General features: G+C 42.8%; 1 pseudogene, besides 1 other annotated feature; it reads right to left on the bottom strand.

The window, feature by feature from the left end:
- Window positions 12,923-13,202: an enhancer, noted in NCBI's record as "active region_22018". NCBI's record gives its function as "activates an Ori minimal core promoter by ATAC-STARR-seq in GM12878 lymphoblastoid cells {active_cell/tissue: GM12878}" and the evidence as "EXISTENCE:reporter gene assay evidence [ECO:0000049][PMID:35858748]".
- Window positions 17,313-18,035, bottom strand: AK4P6 (adenylate kinase 4 pseudogene 6; annotated as a pseudogene).

Raw genomic sequence — 22,822 nt, 5'->3', positions numbered from 1 at the left:
TTTGTGATTATGACACTACACTCCAGCCTGGGTGACAGAGTAAGACTCTGTATGGGAAAAAAAAAAAAAAAAAAAGCATTACAAGTGCATTTGTAGGAAACTTGAAAAATATGGTAAAATATACAAAACTAAAATCAGAAGTCACCCCAAAACAATCTTATGACTGAACAGAACTGTCTTGGGGTATTTTATACCAATGACATTTAATTAAAATTATAAACCAGATTGAATATATATTTGCACAGTTTTTTTGTGTGTGTTTTAATTTTTTTTTTTTTGAGACAGAATCTTGCTCTGTTGCCTAGGCTGGAGTGCAGTGGCGTAAAAACGGCTCACTGCAGCCTTGACCTCCTGGGCTCAAGTGATTCTCTTGCCACAGCCTCCCAAGTAGCTGGGACTACAGGCACATGCCACAACACCTGGCCAATTTTTGTATTTTTTTGTAGATACAGGGTCTCACTATGTCGCCCAGGCTGGTCTTGAACTCTTGGCCTCAAACAATCCTCCCGTCTTGGCCTCTGCAAGTGCTGGGATTACAGGCATGAGCCACCATGCCTGGCCTGCACACTGATTTTTTATTCCAAAAATGTTAATTGTGTAAGACATACAGAATATATAGTTATCATGGAGATGTGGTTTTTCTTTTGTTAATTCTTTAACTTTGCAAATATTCCCTGAATGTAAAACACAAGTAAGACACTGGAATGGACATTCTGGGTAAAGTAAAGATAAATTGGACATTGATCCCATTACCCAGGCACTTACAGGCTGTTGGAAAGATCAGACACATTTGGAACCTTAATACAGTCATGCACCGCAGAGCAACCTTTCTGTCAACAACTGACTGCATGGTGGTCCTGTCAGATTATAATGGAGCTGAAAAATTCCTATTGCCTAGTGATATTGTAGCTGTTGTAATGTCATAGTGCAATTACTTACTTTTAAAATATAGTGTAGCCTAAGTGTACAGTGTTTATAAAGTCTACAGTAGTGTGCAGTAATGTCCTAGGCCTTCACATTCACTCACTACTTACTCATTGACTCACCTAGAGCAACTTCCAGTCCTGCAAGCTATATTCATGGTGAGTTTATTTTTTCCTTAGAGATGGTTTTTTCCCTAGAGATGTGGTCTCACTGTGTTGCTCAGTTTGGACTGAAATTCCTGGGCTCAAGTGCTCCTTTTGACTCAGCCTCCTGAATACTTGGTACTACAAGCATGTACAACTACATGTGGCTCATTTTTAAATCTTTCATACCATATTTTTATTCTACTTTTTCTATGTTTAGATACAGAAATACTTACCATGGTGTTACAATTGCTTACAGTATTCAGTACAATGACATACTGTGTAGGTTTGTAGCTGAAGAACATTATTATATTACTACGCCAAACCATATAGCCTAGGTGTGTAGTAGGCTGTACCATCTAAGTTTGTGTAAGGACACTGTATGATGTTCACATCATATAGTTCTTCACCTAAGGATGCATTTCTCAGAACGTATCCCTGTTGTTAAGTGATACATGATTGTACAAGGCAGTAAGAACATATGATATAAGAAAGCCGCAGTCAGCCAGAGTGAACTTTTTTTTTTTTTTTGAGATGGAGTCTTGCTCTGTCGCCCAGGCTGGAGTACAGTGGTGCAATCTCGGCTCACTGCAACCTCTGCCTCCTGGGTTCAAATGATTCTCCTGCCTCAGCCTCCCAAATAGCTGGGATGACAGGTGTGTGCCATCACACCCAGCTAATTTTTGTATTTTTAATGGAGACAGGGTTTCACCTTGTTGGCTATACTGATCTTGAACTCCTGAGCTCAAGTGATCCACCCAACTGGGCCTCCCAAAGTGCTGGGATTACAGGTGTGAGCCACCGTGCCCAACCTCTCTACTTAAAACTTTCAATGTGTTCTTGTTGAATTTATTTTTATTTTAATTAACAACTTTTTATTGAAATACAACTCACATACCATAAAATTTTTTTTTTTTGAGACACAGTCTTGCTTTGTCACCCAGGCTACAGTGCAGTGGCACAATCTCGGCTCACTGTAACCTCCCCTTCTTAAGTTCAAGCAATTCTCCTACCTTAGCCTCCCAAGTAGCCGGGACTACAGGTGGGCACCACCACGCCTGGCTAACATTTGTATTTTTAGTAGAGAGGAGGTTTCACCGTGTTGGCAGGGCTGGTCTCAAACTCCTGACCTCAAGTTAGCTGCCCGCCTTGGCCTCCCTAAGTGCTGGGACTACAGGCGTGAGCCACCATGTCCTGCCAAAATTCACTTTTTTTTTCTTTTCTTTCTTTTTTTTTTGAGACAGTCTCACTCTGTCACCCAGCCTGGAGTGCAGTGGTGCAATCTCAGCTCACTGCAACCTCCACTTCTCGGGTTCAAGTGATTTTCCTGCCTCAGCCTCCCCAGTAGCTAGGATTACAGGCATGCACCACCACGCCAGGATTATTTTTATATTTTTAGTAGAGACGGGGTTTGACTCTGTTGGTCAGGCCGGCCTCAAACTCCTGACCTCCACCCACCTCGGCCTCCCAAAGTGCTGGGATTACAGGCGTGAACCACCATGCCCAGCCAAAATTCACTTCTTAAAAGTACATAATTTACAAAGTTGTGCAACCATCTCATCGGTTTTTTTTTTTTTTTTTGGCCCAGGCTGGAGTACAGTGGTGTGATCACAGCTCACTGGAGCCTCAACCTTCTAGACTCAAGTGATCCTCCCACCTCAGCCTCTCGAGTAGCTGGACTATAGGCATATGCCATTATGCCAGGCTAACTTTTTTCACTTTTTGTAGAGACAGTGGTCTACCTATGTTGCCCAGACTGGTCTTTAACTCTTGGCCTCAGGCAATCCTCCTGCCCCAGCCTTCCATAGTGCTGGGATTACAGGTGAGTCACCATGTCTGGCCCCATCTCATTGTACTTTAAAATCCAAAGCATAACCATGGCCCATTTTTTCATGTAATATGGTTCCTGCCTACCTCTCCAACTTAATTTCATGACATGTTTGCCTTTGTAATTGCTGTTTCCTTAACCTGGAATCCTGGAATACTTTTTCTACTTTCATTTCATATGGCTGGCTCATCCTGATGCCTTCAGTTGAATACCTCTACAGAGAAAATTTTTCAAACACATTATCCAAAATACTTTCTCATCCACACAACTACCCTCTATCTTATTATCCTATTTGGATTTACAATCTGTAAATGGTATTATATTACCTATTTGTTATTGGTATATTCTATGGCTTTCCCACTAGAATATAAATTCCATAGGATATGGATTTTTCTCTCTCTTTATTAAAAAAATTTTCCACGTTTTTATTTTGAAAAATTTCAAACCTACAGAAAAGTTAAAAGAATACAGTGAACACCCTTATACCCTTCACCTTGACTCCAATTTTTGATATTTTGTCATGTTTGCTTTACTTCTCTCTATATATCTGTTTAAAAGTTGAATAATTTGCATTTATCGTACTTCACCCTTAAATACTTAAGACTGGGCTGTGCAGGGTGGCTCACGCCTGTAATCCCAGCACTTTGGGAGGCCAAGACAGGAGGATAGCTTAGGCTCAGGAGTTTGAGACCAGCCTGGGCAACATAGTGAGACCCTGTCTCAATTTAAAAAAAAAAGAAAAAAAATACTTGAGCCTGAATCTCCTAAGAACAAGTAATCATTCCTGTATAACCAAAATACTATTATCACTGTAAGACATTTAATATTACTATAGTGCTATAATCTAATATATAATCCATTTTCAGTTTTCCCCAATTGTCTTTTATGGCTGTTTTTTCCTAATCTAGAATCCAATCAGTGATCACCCATTGCATTTGATTAAGTCTTTTAATGTCTCCTTTACTTTAATCTACTTAATTTTTCTTTCTCTGACATTAACTTTTTTAAGAATCCAGGCCACTTGTAGAATCGTTTACAATTTATTTTTGGCAAGAGTAATTAACATAAGTGGTACTGTACTTCTCATTGCACCATATCAGGAGAAATGGAATGTCAGTTTGTCCTATTACTGGTGATGCTGAGTTTGATCGCTTGGTTAAAATGAAGTCTATCACATTGTTCCATTGTGAAAATACCTTTGTAGTTAAAATTAATATTTAGAAAACACAAGAATATTCCTATTTTCCAACAATTTTTCACCCATTGGTTTTAGCATCTTTTGATGATTCTTGAATCAATTTACAGTGATAGTTGCAAAATGATAATTTTTCTTTTCTGGCTTTATTTTTATTTTTTATTTTTTTGAGACAGGGTGTCACTGTGTCGCCCAGGCTGGAGTGCAGTGTCATGATTATGGCTCATTGCAGCCTCAACTTCCTGGGCTCAGCCTCCCAGTAGCTGGGACTACAGGAGCACACCACCACACTTGGCTTATTTTGGTTTTTGATTTTTTTGTTTGTTTGATTTTGTAGAGATGCGGTTTCACAGGGTTGCCCAGGCTGGTTTCAAACTCTTGGGGTCAAGCCATCCACCCGCCTTGGCTTTCCAAAGTGCTGGGATTACAGGCGTGAGCCATGGTGCCCAGACTTCTAACTTCTTCACAGCTCTATCATCAGTGCCTGGCACAGTACTTGCAATAAGGTCGACACTCAGTGAATACTTGTTGAATAAATCAATGAAAATCTACCTTATATCAGATATGTTGATCACAAATTTTGTCAAAATGGCAGTAATGCTGTAGGTTATTTTGGTGTTAAGGATAGAACTTTGGCATACATCTAAGTGAACTATTTTTTGGATTGGGGTCAGCAAACTATGGCCCATGAAACAAACCTGCTCTGCCACCTGTTTTTTGTATGGTCCACATGCTAAAAATGTTTTTTCACAGTTTTAGATCATTGGAGACAAAAATTCAAAAGTATAAGTGTATCATGATATGTGAAAATTATATGAAATCAAACTTCAGTGTTCATAAATTAAGTATTATTGGAATACAGGTACCCACATTTGTTTAGATAATGTTATGGATACCTTCCCACTACAAATGGTAGAGTTGCTGCAACAGAGATCATATGGTCTGCCAAGTCTAAAATTTAGTAGTTTTAATATCTTACCTTTTATCAAAAATGTTTGCTCCAGTGGGTGTGGTGGTTCATGCCTGTTTCTCAGCAGTTTGGAAGGCTGAGGTGAGAGGATCATTTGAGCCCAGGAGTTTGAGGTTACAAGGAGCTATGATTGCGCCACTGCATTCCAGCTTGGGCAACAGAGTGAGACTCCGTCTTGAAAAAAGAAAAGAAAAGAAAAGAAAAAAAGTCTGCTGACTCCTGCATTAGATCTTAAAGCCCTTGATGGCACAATGTTTTGCACATAAAAAGCATTCAATACATGTTTGTTGGATTAAATTGAAACTCTAAAGTCTTCTGATTTAATTTTTCTGATCTGAATTCCTTGCCTGGATCTACACAACTACTACCTGTTTGAATGGGTAGTATCTTACCTTGAAAAGTAGTTTTAATATTTGTCGAAGTTTATTTATCCCTTATGGATTCAAAAGGGAAGTCATATATTTACCTACCTCTTATACCAGGCTGAACGTGTTAAGAGCCACAAGAAAGTTATAGTTTTTAGGGTCGGGCGTGGTGGCTCATGCCTGTAATCCCAGCACTTTGGGAGGCCGAGACCGGCAGATCACGAGGTCAGGAGATCGAGACCATCCTGGCTAACATGGTGAAACCCCGTCTCTACTAAAAATACAAAAAATTAGCCGGGCGTGGTGGCGGGCGCCTGTAGTCCCAGCTACTCGGGAGGCTGAGGCAGGAGAATGGTGTGAACCCGGGAGGCGGAGCTTGCAGTGAGCCGAGATCGCGCCACTGCACTCCAGCCTGGGTGACAGAGTGAGACTCCGTCTCAAAAAAAAAAAAAAAAAAAAAGAAGGAAGCTGTGATATTGTTACCAGAAAGGGGTCCCCATATAGACCCCAAGACAGCACTGTTGGATTTCGTGCAAGAAAGAATTCAGGGCGAGTCTATAAAGTGAAAGCAAGTTTGAAGTTTGAGAAAGTGAAGAAACAAACGAATGGCTAGTCCCTAGGCAGAGCAGCAGTTTGGGCTGCTCAGCTGATAATACTTATGGTTATTTCTTGATTATATGCTACACAAGGGGTGGGTTATTCATGAGTTTTCCAGAAAGAGATGGGCAATTCCTGGAACGGAGGGTTCTTCCCCTTTTTAGACCATATAGGGTAACTTTCTGACATTGCCATGGAATTTTAAAACTGTGGTACTGGTGGGAGTATCTTTTAGCATGCTAATGCATTATAATTAGCATGTAATGAGCAGCAAGGATAACCAAAGGTCACTTTCGTCGCCATCTTGATTTTGGTGGGTTTTGGCCAGCTTCCTATTTTATCAGCAAGGTCTGTGTGACATGTATCTTGTGTCAACCTCCTATCGCCTGTGACTTAGAATGCCTTAACCTCCTGGAAATGCAGCCCAGTAGGTCTCAGCCTCATTTACCCAGCCCCTATTCAAGATGGAGTCGCTCTGGTTCAAATGCCTCTGACAATATGCCTGGCTTGGCTAGGGCATAGAACTCTGTGAAGGGCGCTGATGTGTCATGCTCAACCCTGAAGGAACTGCATATCCCAGAATTACGATCTACACTCTGTTCCAGGCATTTGTAAACACCTTCTCACTTTCTTTCTTTCTTTTTTTTTTCCTTTGGCCTCTTGAACCTGGTAACACTACTCACTTTCAAGCCTTCGGTAATCTGGCTTTTCCTTTATCATTTCACTGGGACAATACTCTTGAAGGTTACTTGTAATCACCAGAAAAACCAGTGGGCTTTGATTAGACCTCATCCTTCGTCTGTCTGCAGCACTCAACACTTTAATTTTCCTTCTTTCTTAAAACACTTTCCAGGCTGGGCATGGTGGCTTGCCTGTAATCTCAACACTTTGGGAAGCCAAGGTGGGTGGATTGCTTGAACCCAGGAGTTCGAGACCAGCCTGGGCAACATGGCAAAAACCCTATTTCTGCAAAAAATGAAAAAATTGCCTGGACTTGGTGCATGCATCTGTAATCCCAGCTACTTGGGAGGCCAAGGTGGGAGAATTGCTTGAGTGCAGGAGGCCAGGGTTTCAATGAGCCAAGATAGTGCCACTGCACTCCAACCTGGGTGACAGAGCAAGACTCTGTCAAAAAAAAAAAAAAAAAAATCGGCTGGGTGTGGTGGCTCACACCTGTAATCCCAGCACTTTGGGAGGCCTAGGCGCGCAGATCAGTTAAGGTCAAGAGTTCAAGGCCAGCCTGGCCAACGTGGTGAAACCCCGTCTCTACTAAAAATACAAAAATTAACCAGGTGTGGTGGTTCATCCCTGTAGTCCCAGCTACTTGGGAGACTGAGACAGGAGAATCGTTTGAACCCGGGAGGTGGAGGTTGCAGTGAACCAAGATCACGCCACTGCACTCCAAAGCTAGACTCCATTTCAAAAAAAAACAAAACAAAACCAAAAAACGACCCTTTCTGATGGCACGTATACTCCCTCCTCTGGTCCCTTTTCATTGACAGAGAATTAAAAGGGGTTACAATCAAGATATGGCTGTCAATTGGAAATAGTGAGGTTCCAAAATAGGTCTTATATTTGGCTTTATCTTCTTTCATTTCAACACAAACTTTTATGGAAACACTGGATGTTTCTGCAAAGTACACAACATCCAGATATTGTAAAGGGAAAAAAGACTCCTGGAATGTTCAGTCTTGTGGAGGAAAGAGATTGGTAAATAAGCAGTTAAAACTCAAAGAAGAATAAAGTGAGGGTGGATAAGAAGCATAAGTAGCATTCTGTGGCTGTGAAGAGGAAGGAGCAATTAAAAGTGACTTGAAGATTAGAATTGTTCATGTCTTTCTGTTTTTTGTTTTTGTTTTTTGAGACATTGTTTCACTCTTGTCGCCCAGGCTGGAGTGCAATGGCGCAATCTCAGCTCACTGCAACCTCCACCTCCCTGGCCTCAAGTGATCCACCCACCTTGGCTTCCAAAGTGCTGGGATTACAGGCGTGAGCCACTGTGTCCAGCCGAATTGTTCGTGTCTTTCTTAGTATGAAGGATGTATTGCCAATGCCCCATTGGTTAAGAAAAAACTAAGTAATAAAGTTTGTGTGATTCTTAAAGAAAAATTGTCTTCCTGCATTATTTGTTCATTATATTATGAACATTAAAAGTGCCTTTTTAAAGGATTGCTAAATCTGGGCCGGGCGTGGTGGCTCACGCCTGTAATCCCAGCACTTTGGGAGGTTGAGGTGGGTGGGTCACCTGAGGTCAGGAGTTCGAGACCAGCCTGGCCAACATGGTAAAACCTCGTCTCTATTAAAAATACAAGAATTAGCCAGGTGTGGTAGCAGCCTCCTGTAATCCCAGCTACTCGGGAGGCTGAGGCAGGAGAATCACTTGAACCCGGGAGGCGGAGGTTGCACTGAGCTGAGATTGTGCCACTGCACTCCAGCCTGGGAAACGAGAGGGAAACTCTGTCTTAAAAGAAATAAAAATAAGGCCAGGCGCGGTGGCTCATGCCTGTAATCTCAGCACTTTGGGAGGCCGAGCCAGGTGGATCACGAGGTCAGGAGTTCAAGACCAGCCTGGTTAAGATGGTGAAACCTCATCTCTAGTAAAAATACAAAAATTAACCAGGCATGGTGGCTGGTGCCTGTAATCCCAGCTACTCAGGAGGCTGAGGCAGAGAATTGCTTGAACCTGGGAGGCAGAGGTTGCAGTAAGCCAAGATCGCGCCACTGCACTCCAGTCTGGGTGACAGAGCGAGACTGTCTCAAAAAAAAAAAAAAAAAAAGGATTGCCAAATTTAATGGTCATCATTAATTGATCCTCAGAACAATCCTCTTTGGTAGGTATTATTAGCTGTGTTTCATAGGTGAAAAAAGTGAGATTCAGAGGAATTAAGTAAAGAATATAGGAAATGGCTATAAAATAGAATTCAACTTCCCTTTCTCTTATTATTTGAAATGAATTCTTTCGGAAACTAGCGGTGAAGGTTTATTTAAGTATACTCCTTTTGGTTTCTACTAAATAGGGAACCTAAATTATAGCACTTAAACTGAATGGACTCACAGGCCCCTGGATGCGGTACATTTTTTTTTTTTTTTTTTTTTTTTTTGAGGCAGAGTCTTGCTCTGTTGCCAGGCTGGAGTGCAGTCGTGTGATCTTGGCTCACTGCAACCTCCACCTCCCAAGTTCAAGCAATTCTCCTGTCTCAGCCTCCTGAGTAGCTGGGATTACAGGCATGCGCTACCATGCCTGGCTAATTTTGTATTTTTAGTAGAGACGGGGTTTCTCCATGTCGGTCAGGCTGGTCTCAAACTCCCGACCTCCGGTGATCCGCCCGCCTTGGCCTCCCAAAGTGCTGGGATTACAGGCATGAGCCACTGTGCCTGGCCATCTTTCTCTTTTCTTTCTTTTCCTTTCTCTCTTTCTTTCTTTTTTAAATTTAAACTGGGGTAATTTGTCATCTTCAGGCAGTTGAACCAGTCTGATGGGTACACCTCCCACTTCCCCCATCAGAAACTGGCTTGACATCTTACTGTTCATTGGCTGATGGTTAGAGCTGGATCGACAGGTGCAGCAGTGGAAAAAAAAAAAAAGCTTTGCAAACTCCACAAAGAGATTTCGTAAATAGAAATGAAGGCTGTGTAAACAAAGTACCTGTACTGTCTCTAGTTTCCATGGCACACTGAACCAAGCACAAAGGGACCACAGTAGACAGCCTGCAATCCACAAACAGTCTTTTTATAGGGTGGAGTGGGGTGGGAAAGATTTCTGGCTTCTGTTTTTGTCTAAAAAATCTACTGACCAAAACTTCTGATTCCAATAGCTCACATGTAGGAATCCTGAAGAATTTTCAGTAATTAAAAAAAAGTGACCAAGATATAAGTAAGAACTCAGTTCTCTACAAAGGAAGTCAGAATAATTATTTGTTGATACTAGAGCAAAAGGATTTTATAAGATTGGAAATGGAGTGCAGTTTGTAGTCTATGAGCAGTTGTGGGAGTGCTAGAGGAGGGTCTAGGGTGTTGGGGTGGTGCATTCTGCAGAATGGAGTTCGGTAACTATTCTTCTCGCTAGATGTGGTATGAACTTTGCTTATCCTTCTCTCTTTTCATTACCTACAAAAAAAGTGGCAGAGAGGAAGTAGGCAACAGTGGTAACTGAGCAGGCAGAGCTGGAGTTTGTACCAGTTTATAATGTTTAGTTCTAGATTCTTTTTTGATATATTTTGAAAGATTAGTACTTATTATGTGATTTGAAAGAGTTGCATCAGAGATCTGATTCTGAAATAAAACCAATATTTTTGATTCATAGAAACTAATGGTCTGAGTGAGCAGAGAAGAAACTGTTGTCAAGAGTTCCCTCTTTTGATCCAAGAAATTAATGGAATTTGCGACTGAATCAAAGATTATATGGACATTCCAAAGGCTAACCAGATTACCTGGCAAATAGAACACTTAACAGATAAATTGATTGGATTTTTTTTTTTTTTTTTTTTAAGATAGAGTCTCGCTCTGCTGCCTAGGCTGGAGTGCAGTGGCACGATTTTAGCTCACTGCAAACTCCGCCTCCCGGGTTCAAGCGATTCTCCTGCCTCAGCCTCTCGAGTAGCTGGGACTACAGGCATGCGCCACGACGCTGGCTAATTTTTGTATTTTTAGTAGAGATGGGGTTTCACCATGTTGGCCAGGCTGGTCTCGAACTCCTGACCTCAAGTGATCCACCTGCCTTGGCCTTTCAAAGTGCTGGGATTATAGGTGTAAGCCACCGCGCCCAGTCTAGAAAAACTTTTATAATTTTTTTCAAGAAATGTAAAATACAGCCGGGCATGGTGGCTCATGCCTATAATCCCAGCACTTTGGGAGGCTTAGGCAGGCAGATTACTTGAGTTCAAGAGTTCAAGACCAGCCTGGCCAACATGGCAAAACCCCGTCTCCACTAAACATACAAAAAATTAGTCGGGCATGGTAGCAGTCACCTGTAATCACAGCTACTTGGGAGGCTGAGGCTGAGGCAGGAGAATCGCTTGAACCCGAGAGGCGGAGGTTGCAGTGAGCAGAGATCGTGCCATTGCACTCCAGCCTGGGTGACGAGAGTGAAACTCCGTCTCAAAAAAAAAAAAAAAAAGAGTAAAATACGGTCATGCCTTAATTATTCTAATAATGGCTTACATTTATTAAGCAATAATTGCTTTTGGAGTATCATGGTAAGTGCTTTACCTGTAATCCTCACCATGGGTATTCTTAGTATAGACTTTTTTTCCTTTTTTGAGGGGGGCGGGGACAGGGTCTTGCTCTGTCATCCAGGCTGGAGTGCAGTGGTGCCATCTCAACTCACTACAGCCTCAGCCTCCTGGGCTCAAGTGATCTTCCCACCTCACCCTCCCAAGCAGCTGGGACTACAGGTGTGCATCACCATGAGTGGCTAATTTTTGTATTTATTTTAAAGACGGGGTCTCCCTATGTTGCCCTAGCTGGTCTTGAACTCTTGAACTCAAGTGATCTGCCCACCTCAACCTCTCAAAGTGCTGGAATTATAAGTGTGAGCCACCATGCCTGGCACTCTTAGTATAGTTGTTTTATAGGTGAGGAAACTGAAACTTCAATAATTTGTTCAATAATTTCTCATAAATACACAGCCAGTAGGTCATGGTAGTAGCACCAGATGTGTTAGGTGCTAAAGGCTATGCTGGTAACTAGTACATAATTTTATGATGTTTATAATAGCAAAACATCAGGAAAAAACTTGAATTTAAATAACAGAAGATTGCTTAAATTGATTTATTATGGTTTAGTCATATATTAATATACAGTTATTATATTATATACAATTAATATTTAAACACAAGTGGCCACGCAGTGTCTCATGCCTATAATCTTAGCACTTTAGGAGTCCAAGGCAGGTGGGTCACTTGAGGTCAAGGGTTCGAGACCAGCCTGGCCAACATGGCGAAACCTCGTCTCTACTAAAAATTCAAAAATTAGCTGGGTGTGGTGATGGGTGCTTGTAGTCCCAGCTACTCAGGAGGCTGAGGCAGGAGAATCACTTGAACCTGGGAGGCAAAGGTTGCAGTGAGCCAAGATTGCACCACTGCACTCCAGCCTGAGCGACAGAGCAAGACTCCATCTCAAAAAACAAAACAAAACAAAACAAAGAACCAAAAAAACCCCAAAATTCCACAAGTGACATGGAAAATGTTAATGATATATTTTTACGTGAAAAAAAAGCAGGGCACAGTATGTTTGGCATAATCTCAATTCTGTAATCCACATCCATTTAGTGGGAAGACAAACATACAGCAAATGAGTGTTGCAATTATGGGTGGTTTTTTTTTTTTTTTTTTTTGAGACAGAGTCTCACTCTGTCGCCCAGGCTGGAGTGCAGTGGCGCCATCTCAGCTCACTGCAACCTCCGCTTCCCAGGTTTAAGCGATTCTCCTGCCTCAGCCTCCTGAGTAGCTGAGACTACGGGTGCGCACCACTGTGCCCAGCTAATTTTTTTTTCTTTTGTTTAGAGATGGGTTTTTACCATGTTGGCCAGGCTGGTCTCAAACTCCTGACCTCGTGATCTGCCTACCTTTGCCCCCGAACATGCTGGGATTACAGGCGTGAACCACCGCGCCCGGGCCCCTTGGGTGTGTTTTTTTCTTTCATTTTTGAGCTTTTCTACATTTCCCAAACTTCCTTCAATTAACACGCATTACTTTTGCAATTATGTAAGATCTCTCAATGTTATTTAAAGCAGAGGTAAGAAATATAGTTAAGGGAAATAAATGTACCGTCATCAATTTCCTGACATATAACGAACATTTTGTGGGGAAAGGTGGAGGGGAAAACAGCATGTGAATGTCGCTGTAGCACAAATACATGCTCTTTCCCAGGTGCAGTCACCAGTACAGATATGTCTCATAACTTTCCATTAGCAATTATCATACTAACCAGGGGCATGAGTAAGCACAATCACATCCTGATCATTTTCCTCCTTCTTGAGTCACTTTCCTCCCCTGGCTTCCCTAACTCCACATTCCTATTTTCTGTTTACCACATTGGCCTCTCCTTTCTCAATCTCCTAGTTCCTTCTCCTCTAAGCACCCCTATTTACCTTTCAAAGAGCCCCAGGCTTGGTCTTGAGTCTCCTCTACCATCTAACACAGAGAAAAAGAAAATTAAAATACCTCCCAGAGCCTGGCCAATGGCAAGCAAGTGAAGCTACTCATTGATTTCACTGCTAGTCCTCTTCTAGCTCAACTCCCGTCAGGAACACCTCAGTCACGGGTGTATTCTCCCCACTTGCTCAAGTCAAAAACCTAGAAGCCATCTTTTGTTTCTCCCTTTTTTTTTTTTTTTTGGAGACCGAGTCTCGCTCTGTCGCCCAGGCTGGAGTGCAGTGGAATGATCTCGGCTCACTGCAAGCTCCGCCTTCCGGGTTCACGCCATTCTCCTGCCTCAGCCTCCCGAGTAGCCGGGACTACAGGCGCCCGCCACTGCGCCCAGCTAATTTTTTGTATTTTTAGTAGAGACGGGGTTTCACCGTGGTCTCGATCTCCTGACCTCGTGATCCGCCCCCCTCTGCCTCCCAAAGTGCTGGGATTACAGGCGTGAGCCACCGCGCCCGGCCTTGTTTCTCCCTTTTCACTCTTCCTCACTCCCTCATGTCCAAAACAGTAACAAATCCCGTTGGTGCTCTTTACTTTTCTTTCTTTCTTTTTTTCTTTCTTCTTTTTTTTTTTTTTGGTAGAGATGGGGTTTTCAAAATATATCTTTTTTTTTTTTTTTTTTTGAGACAGGGTCTCACTCTGTTGCCCAGCCTTGAGTGCAGTGGCACCATCTTGGCTGACTGCAGCCTCGACCTCCTGGGTTCAAGTGATTCTCCCACCTCAGCCTCCTGAGTAGCTGGGACTACCGGCTGGCGCCATCACACCTGGCTAATTTTTGTTTTTTTTTTGTAGAGACAGGGGTTTCTCCATGTTGCCCAGGCTGGTCTTGAACTCGTGAATTCAAGTGATCTGCCCACCTCTGCCTCCCAAATTGCTGAGATTACAGGTGTGAGCCCCAGCGCCCGGCAAAATATATCTTGAATCCTTTTCTTTTTCTTTTCAGCCTCCACCTTGCTTAGACTATTTAAGTGTTGTCCTAAATGGTCTCTTTGCTTTTATTCTTGCCTGATCACCATCTGTTCTTCACACACAGCCAGCCAGTTGCACTCATCTCTGCATTTGGAATTGAAACCTTAGGGGATATGGCTGTGGTCTTCTTTCATTCTTCCTATTGCAAGGTTAATATTTACCAAGCTTGCTGAATTATCACAATTCCAAGTTAAATTAGTAGTACCAAAAAAACAGTGAATTCACTTTGGTTTCCAAATATTTAATAGTCAAATGTTTGGGAACATAAAAAAAAAACAAAAAGGAAAAGAACAGTAATATTAATTTGCTCAATTGTTCTGTTCACCTTGTATGCCACCACCTTGGTTAATTGGTTAATAATGGCTGAGGGTGAATTAGAAAAAGAGGAAAATTACATTCTTTTTTTTTTTTTTGGAGATGGAGTTTAGCTCTTGTTGCCCAGGCTGGAGTGCAATGGCGCGATCTCGGCTCACTGCAACCTCCGCCTCCCAGATTCAAGCAATTCTCTTGTCTCTGCCTCCTGAGTAGCTGGGATTGCAGGCACATGTCACCACGCCCGGCTAATTTTTGTAATTTTAGTGCAGACGGCGTTTCATCATATTGGTCAGGCTAGTCTCGAACTTCTGACCTCAGGTGATCTGCCTTCCTCAGCCTCCCAAAGTGCTGGGATTACAGGCGTGAGCCACCGCACCCAGCCTATATTCTTTTCTTAATTCTCACCCATCTGTAAAGAACACAACACAAAGGCTGAATGTAATAAATGTGTACTATAGTCTGGAGGTGGCTTACCAAACTTGTTTCCATTTAAGTTAGTCTTACCTCATTTTTCCAGGGCCTCAATTCAATAGATTTTTTTTCTCTCTCTTTTTGTCTTCCAAGCTTCTACGATTATGACTCATGGAACTAAAACTAGATTAGTACTGCTATGTGTTACTTTCTGTATTAGATTTTTCTCAACTAGTTAAAATGACATAAGCGAAATATATATTTTTTAAAGCTTAAACACTAAGTAAAATGTTCTAACAACCTATTTTAAAAGGTTTAATTTAGCAGAGGAATAAAGACCTTCTAATTTTACTGTACAACATAATATAGTTTTTTCTGTAGTTGCTGATCACGGAACTTCCATTAATCTCATTTAGATTCTGGAAATTAGAGTACATTTTCCTAAATGATAATTTCTTGTTTACTAACCACATCTTTTTTCTTTATTTTTTTTTGCGGCAGAGTCTTGCTGTGTCACCCAGGCTGTAGTGCAGTGGCGAGATCTCAGCTCACTGCGGCCTCCGCCTCCTGGCTTCTAGTGATTCTTGTGTCTCAGCCTCATGAGTAGCTGGGATTACCAGGGTGCGCCACCATGCCTGGATTATTTTATTTTATTTTATTTATTTATTTTTTTGAGACGGAATCTCACTCTGTCGCTCAGACTGAAGTGCAGCAACCCGATCTCGGCTCACTGCAACCTCCGCCTCCTGGGTTCAAGTGATTCTCCTGCCTCAGCCTGCCGAGTAGCTAGGATTACAGGTGTGTGCCACCACACCTGGCTAATTTTTGTATTTTTAGTAGAGATGAGGTTTTACCACATTGGCCAGGCTGGTCTCGAATTCCTGACCTCAGGTAGATCCGTCCACCTCTGCCTGCCAAAGTGTTGGGATTACAGGCGTGAGCCACTGCCCCCAGCCCCAGCTAATTTTTGGATTTGTAGTAGAGACAGGGTTTCACCATGTTGGCCAGGCTGGTCTTGAACTCGTGACCTCAAGTGATCCATCTATATTGGCCTCCCAAAATGCTGGGATTACAAACGTGAGCCACTGTGCCCAGCTTACTAACCACATTTGATTTAGAAATAAACTATGGCTGGGTGCAGTGGCTCACGCCTGTAATCTTAGCACTTTGGGCGGCTGAGGCAGGCGGATCACCTGAGGTCAGGAGTTCAAGACAGCGTGGCCAACATGGTCACGCTGTCTCTATTAAAATACAAGAATTAGCCGGGCATGATGGTGGGTGCCTGTAATCTCAGCTACTCAGAGGCTGAGATGGTCAACCCTGTCTCTATTAAAATACAAGAATTAACCAGGCATGATGGTGGGTGCCTGTAATCCCAGCTACTCAGAGGCTGAGATGGGAGAATCGCTTGAATCTGGGAGACGGTGGTTGCAGTGAGCCGAGATCACACTACTGCACTCCAGCCTGGGCAGCTGAGCAAGACTCCATCTCAAAAAAAAAAAAAAAAAAAAAAAGAATTACCTAGAAAGCTATAAAAAAAACACTGATATCTCTGATATCTGTCTGGGTCCCACTTGAGATTCTGATGTGATTGGCTTGGGTATTAACATTTATTTATTTATTTATTTATTTTCTTTTAACAAATGGTTTATTGATGTTATAATGAATTACAAAATATTAGTATCTAATTCTATACTTTATGGCCACCCCATAGGATGAATCTTTGGAACAGAAAAAAAAAAATAAAGATTTTGTTATCCCATAATCATAAAGCTGTTATACTCAGCCCAGGCACAGCTAGTATAACATTCTGCTCAACCCCACAGGCTCCATTCCCTTTAACACTTATTTATAATATGTTTGGGTCACTCATAGTAGTGAAACACTGTCAGCATCAATAGTTAGCAGCACTTTCAAAATACATTTTATTGTCCTGAATAGAAACCTTAACTATTCAATTTGTCCAGTAATTCCAAACGGTCTTATTACTTCTATACATAAGATATGATCTTACAACATTTATGTAGCTAAATACTTATACTTCCCATGCTTTTTGAGGATTCCCACACTGCCACACTGTACTTGCTTTCTTTTTTTTTTTTTTTTTTTGAGAGACGAGTCTCACTCTGTTGCCCAGGCTGGAGTGCAGTGGTGCAATCTCGGCTCACTGCAAGCTCCGCCTCCTGGGTTCACGCCATTCTCCTGCCTCAGCCTCCCGAGTAGCTGGGACTACAGGCGGCTGCCACCACGCCCAGCTAATTTTTTTGTATTTTTAGTAGAGACGGAGTTTTACCATGTTAGCCAGGATAGTCTCGGTCTTCTGACGTCGTGATCCTCCTGCTTCAGCCTCCCAAAGTGCTGGGATTACAGGCGTGAGCCACCGTGCCCGGCTGTACTTGCTTTCTTGTGAAGGGCTTGAGACATGTGCAGAGACACCTTAAATGTGTAGGTGACCTTCCTTTTGAAAGGCAGAGGAGGGCCTCTTTGTGAACTCTTTCTACTCATTTGTTTTCCTATCAGTTCGCCATTTCAGCTAGAAAAGATGCTGCAAGCTACCTCAGCTAGCTTCTAATTTGGACACATCACCAATACTACACACACAATTGAATGAATGACCACCTCTTCCTGGTTCTCCCACTGGGCAGGGTCGATATGCTTCTTTGGACTGAATAGGTGTGATCTTGTTCGAGAAAAGTGTGTAAATGTAGGGTCAGATTTTGTTCGTCTCCATCCCAGAAAATTGGTGGAGCACTCCTTGGCTTTTGTATAATTCAATGACTGGCTTTGCCATGTCTTTGTACTGTCTTAGCCTGGCAGCAACTGCTTCAGGTTTATCATCCTCCTGCTGGACTAATGGTTCACCAGTACATCAATACCATGAACATGAGGTGGATTGAAGTCCAGGTTATATACCCTTCCGCTAGGAGGGTGAATCCAACGGCGGCTGAGACGATCTTTTAAGTGTTTCAAATGGAATGTTCAAACTGATCACTAGATCCACTTCACAGATTTTGTCCAGGGCTTCGGCTTGTCCTAATGTCCTAGGAAAACCATCGAGGAGCCAGTGCTGGCCACACCTATTCTCCAACTCAGACATCATTAGGTATGTGATCACATGGTCTGGAACCAAAAGACTTTTCTCTATATACTGCTTTGCCATCTCACCAACTTCTGTGCTCAGGATCTTCTTGGTAAATGATTCCAAGACTTCCATGCGCATTATGTTGGTGCTGCACCTATCGGGTATTAGCATTTATAAACTGTATCAAGTGAGGCTTAAGGTTCCAGGTGAATCTAATGACTGAAGACTAAGACCCACTGAATTGGGGAATTACAGCTTCAAATTGTCATTTTCTATATTTGAGCCTGGCTGCATGTATGACAAAGGTGACCATATGCTTTTCTAGGACTGTGTCACACCAGTTTCCTAGGACTGTGTGCCACACACAGCAACATGAATCTTCCAAATACATTTATTTGCTTAACAGTTAAGTAATACTTATACACAGCTCCTCACTAAAGATAGTGTGATATCTATGGGGAGATGACATTTTTCTTAATCTTTGGTTTCTCAACATTCTTAGGAAAAGGCCTAAAACTAAGCCCCTTTCTGGAATGAAAATATGTTAATCATCTCATCCCACACAATTTTTCATCTTTAAAATCCAAATTATAGAATAATGTAAACACTGCACTCCATCAGTTCTATATAATGGATGATTCTACCCAAATATATAGTGAGGGTTGGGTAGCTGCTAGTAATTTTCTTTTTTTGAGATGGAGTTTCGCTCTTGTTGCCCAGGCTGGAGTGCAATGGCGCGATCTGGGCTCACCACAACCTCCACCTCCCGGGTTCAAGCGATTCTCCTGCCTCAGCCTCCTGAGTAGCTGGGATTAAAGGCATGCGCCACCATACCCGGCTGATTTTTTGTATTTTTAGTAGAGACAGGGTTTCTCCATGTTGGTCAGGCCGGTCTTGAACTCCTGACCTCAGATGATCTGCCCGCCTTGGCCCCCCAAAGTGCTGGGATTACAGGCATGAACCACCCCGACTGTCTGGGATTTTCTTAAGAGGCTAGTGAAATCCTGTTACGTTATTGATTGAAATCCTCTAAAGGCAGCAGGTTGCCTTCAGGGTAGAGTCCAGTCTGAAAGTCCAAAGCCAGGTTTACAGTGGTCCATCCCACCTCTCTAGTCTCTTCTCTTTTTTTTTTTTTTTTTTTAGACAGGGTCTCATTGTGTCACAGAGGCTGGAGTGCAGTGGCACCTTCATGGCTCACTGCAGCCTAGACTTCCCAGGCTTAAGCCATCCTCCCACCTCAGCCTCTCCAGTACCCAGTAGCTGGGACTACAGACACGTGACCCCGTGCTGGGCTTTTTTTTTTTTTTAAGACAGGGTTTTGCCATGTTGCCCAGGCTGTCCTGGCTTCAAGCCATCTGCCCACCTCAGCCTCTCAAAGTGCTTAGATTACAGGCATGAGCCACCTCGTCTGGCCTCTAGCTTCATCTCTAGTCAAGTCCCATTAACAACCTACTTGCCGTTCCCAGACTCACCATTTTTTTTCCTTTTCTGTTTTTTGAAAACAAAATTAATTTTTGTTTTTTAGCTGGAGTCTCACTCTGTCACCCAGGCTGGAGTGCAGTGGTGAGATCTTCGCTCACTGCAACCTCTGCCTACTAGGTTCAAGCAATTCTCCTGCCTCAGACTCCCTAGTAGCTGGGATTACAGGCACCTGCCACCACGCCCTACTAATTTTTGTATTTTTAGTAGAGCTGGGGTTTCACCCCGTTGGCCAGGCTGGTCTTGAACTCCTGACCTCAGGTGACTCACCCACCTTGTCCTCCCAAAGTGCTGGGATTACAAGTGTGAGCCACCGCGTCTGGCCCAATTTTTTTTTTTTTTTTTTTTAGACGGAGTTTTGCTCTTGTTGCCCAGGCTGGAGTGCAATGGCGCGATCTCGGCTCACCTCAACCTCTGCCTCCTGCGTTCAAGCGATTCTCCTGCCTCAGCCTCCGTCCTGGGATTACAGGCATGTGCCACCACACCTGGCTAGTTTTGTATTTTTAGTAGAGATAGGCCTTCTCCATATTGATCAGGCTGGTCTCAAACTCCTGACATCAGGTGATCCGCCCGTCTCAGCCTCCCAAAGTGCTGGGATTACAGGTGTGAGCCACCGCGCCTGGCCCCCAAAATTTTAAAAAATAAATAAATAAACTAGATCAGAAGGCCCCCCACATCCACCGACACCATGAGGCAGAGGGCGGGGGCAGAGATGTTGGGCTAGATTCTGTACCCCTGCCTCCCACGCACCACCTCCCACGGGCGGGGAGGAGAGACCAGGGGGCCTGAAGGAAGGCAGAATGAGAAGAGCGGTCCCATTTGCCATGAGTGTCTGTCTCTCAGCTGTGGCGTCCCAGGCCCAGCTGGGGAGTGATCACTCACCATTTTCATGTAACAATTATAATTTTGGCATGGGCACTTAATTATGCTAACATAATTTTTGTTGTTGTTGTTTGTTTTTCTTTTTTTTGAGACAGTCTCGCTCTGTCGCCCAGGCTGGAGTGCAGAGGTGCGATCTTGGCTCACTGCAACCTCCGCCTCCTGGGTTCAAGCCATTCTCCTGTCTCATCCTCCCGAGTAGCTGGGATTACAGTAGCCCGCCACCACACCCTGCTATTTTTTTGTATTTTTAGTAGAAATGGGGTTTCGCCATGTTGGCCAGGCTGGTCTCGAACACCTGACCTCGTGATCTGCTGGCCTCAGCATCCCAAAGTATTGGGATTACAGGTGTGAGCCAGCGTGCCCAGCCACATAACTTTCATTCATTAAAAAAACCAAGTATTCAGGATGATCTGTTTTCGGCAGCCTATCGTGTGAGCACAGGGTCAGTTCCATTTCTCCTTTGCACAAGGGTAAAAAACATTATGCTGAGCTTTTAAGTAATCACGATACTATTTAATGTCATGGGATCACAGTTACCCAAACTCAGGTTCTTTATACATAAAAAGTGCCTATAGGCTGGTGTGGCGACTTACACAGTTCCAAGCACTTTGGGAAGCCGCAGTGGGAGGATCGCTTGAGATCAGGAGTTTGAGACCACCCTGAGCAGCACAGCAAGACTCTCGCCTCTAATGGGAGGGCGGGGGGAGGGAAGAGTATCTACAAAGAGAGTGTGGCTGGGCCCAGTGGCTCATCCCTGTAATTCCAGCACTTTGGGAGGCAGAGGCAGGCAGATCACTTGAGGTCAGGAGTTCGAGACCAGCCTGGCCAATGTAATGAAACCCCATCTCTGCTAAAAATACAAAAAAAATTAGCTGGGCATGGTGGCGCCCACCTGTAATCCCAGCTACTCAGGAGGCTGAGGCATGAGATTTGCTTTAACCCAGGAGGTGGAGGTTGCAATGAGCTGAGATTGCGCCACTGAACTCCAGCCTGGGCAACCAAGGGAGACTGTCTCAAAAGTAAATAAATAAAATAAAAAAAATAAAGAGTGTAACCTAAGTGGGGGTGATAGCATGCATTTTTCAACACATATAAACAAAGCAACCCTTTTAATGCTCTATAGTTCTATCTAGAAGAACAACCTAATTATTTAAGAGACATAGTTGAATTCAGTTGTCTTCTAAGGTTAAAATGTCCAACCATTCTGGAGACTTCATATCCTGGAATAACCTTCCCCAAATTTTTCATCTGGCTTATTCCTAGTTATTCTTTAAAATTCAAGTCTGGTATCACCTTCTCTTGGAAGTCTCTCTTTTAGGTTTTCATAGGCTTAACGTACTGAATTGAGTCCTTAAGGCAGGGACTGAATTTTTTACTTCTTAACCTAAATGTCTAATGCAATGCCTGGTACATTAGAATGCTAAACAAATGTTTTTGGAATGACTTAAGTTAATGAGTGAATTTCTTTTTGCTTTAAATATTTTTTGGTCCTATTTTGTACCACATTATCAATGGCACATGACTTGAAGAAGAGTCCCTTTATTTATTTAGAGACAGTCTTGCTGTGTCGCCCAGGCTGGAGTGCAGTGGCACAATCTTGGCTCACTGCAACATCCGCCTCCCCGGTTCAAGTGGTTCTCCTGCCTCAGCCTCCCGAGTAGCTGGGATTACAGGCTTGTGCCACTACACATGGCTAATTTTTGTATTTTTAGTAGAGATGGGGTTTCACCATGTTGGCCGGGCTGAGTCCCTTGATTGAATATGTCATGAAACTTTTCCATGTCCATTAACTACCTCCAATGCCCACTGTATGGAAGAACCAGAATGTACAACTTCTCTTTGTGTGTATTAGACATTTAGATCGTTTCTAAGTTTTTGAAATTATAAATAATTCTAAAATGAAAATGATTTTAACTGTACCTTTGAGCTACCTGGTTACGCCTGGGATATATCCTTAAGAGTGGAAGTGCAGTGTATTAATGCCTCTCAGTGATGTTGTACATTTGCAGTAAATAAGAGTGTACATTTCCCCTTTGGCAACACTGGATACTATAAATATTTGCAATGAGAAAGGCAACAATGTTATCTCAAACTATCTTAATTTACATTCCTTTATTAGTGGAGTTGAGCTTGTACATATTTCTTAGCAAAGAAAATCATATGGAGTTTCTGTAAGGAAATGGATATTTCCTTTAATAAAATTAAACCCAGGTCTTCTCAGCAACAAAGGGAAAAACCTCCTTGGAAAATTCCTTGTGGACCTTATAACCCCAAATGTGATCCCACAAAATTCCCCTGTCCCTTGAAAATCTCTGGCTAAATATGGGGGTATCACCTCACCCTCTTTAACATGCAGGCCCAATTATGGGTACTCTGGATTTCAGCATACTGTGACCAGGCTGGAACATTTTTAAAGTTTTTACTCTGAACAAATAAAAGGAATATGGTCCCCCTCCGAACCCCCCAAAAAAGTAATATGGTCAGGAATAAAACTAGATAATCTCTTTCACCTGATGT

Source organism: Homo sapiens, chromosome 4 (genome assembly GCF_000001405.40).
Source record: "Homo sapiens chromosome 4, GRCh38.p14 Primary Assembly".
Classification (NCBI taxonomy): Eukaryota; Metazoa; Chordata; class Mammalia; order Primates; family Hominidae; genus Homo; species Homo sapiens.
This window is presented reverse-complemented; position numbering and strand designations above follow the sequence as displayed.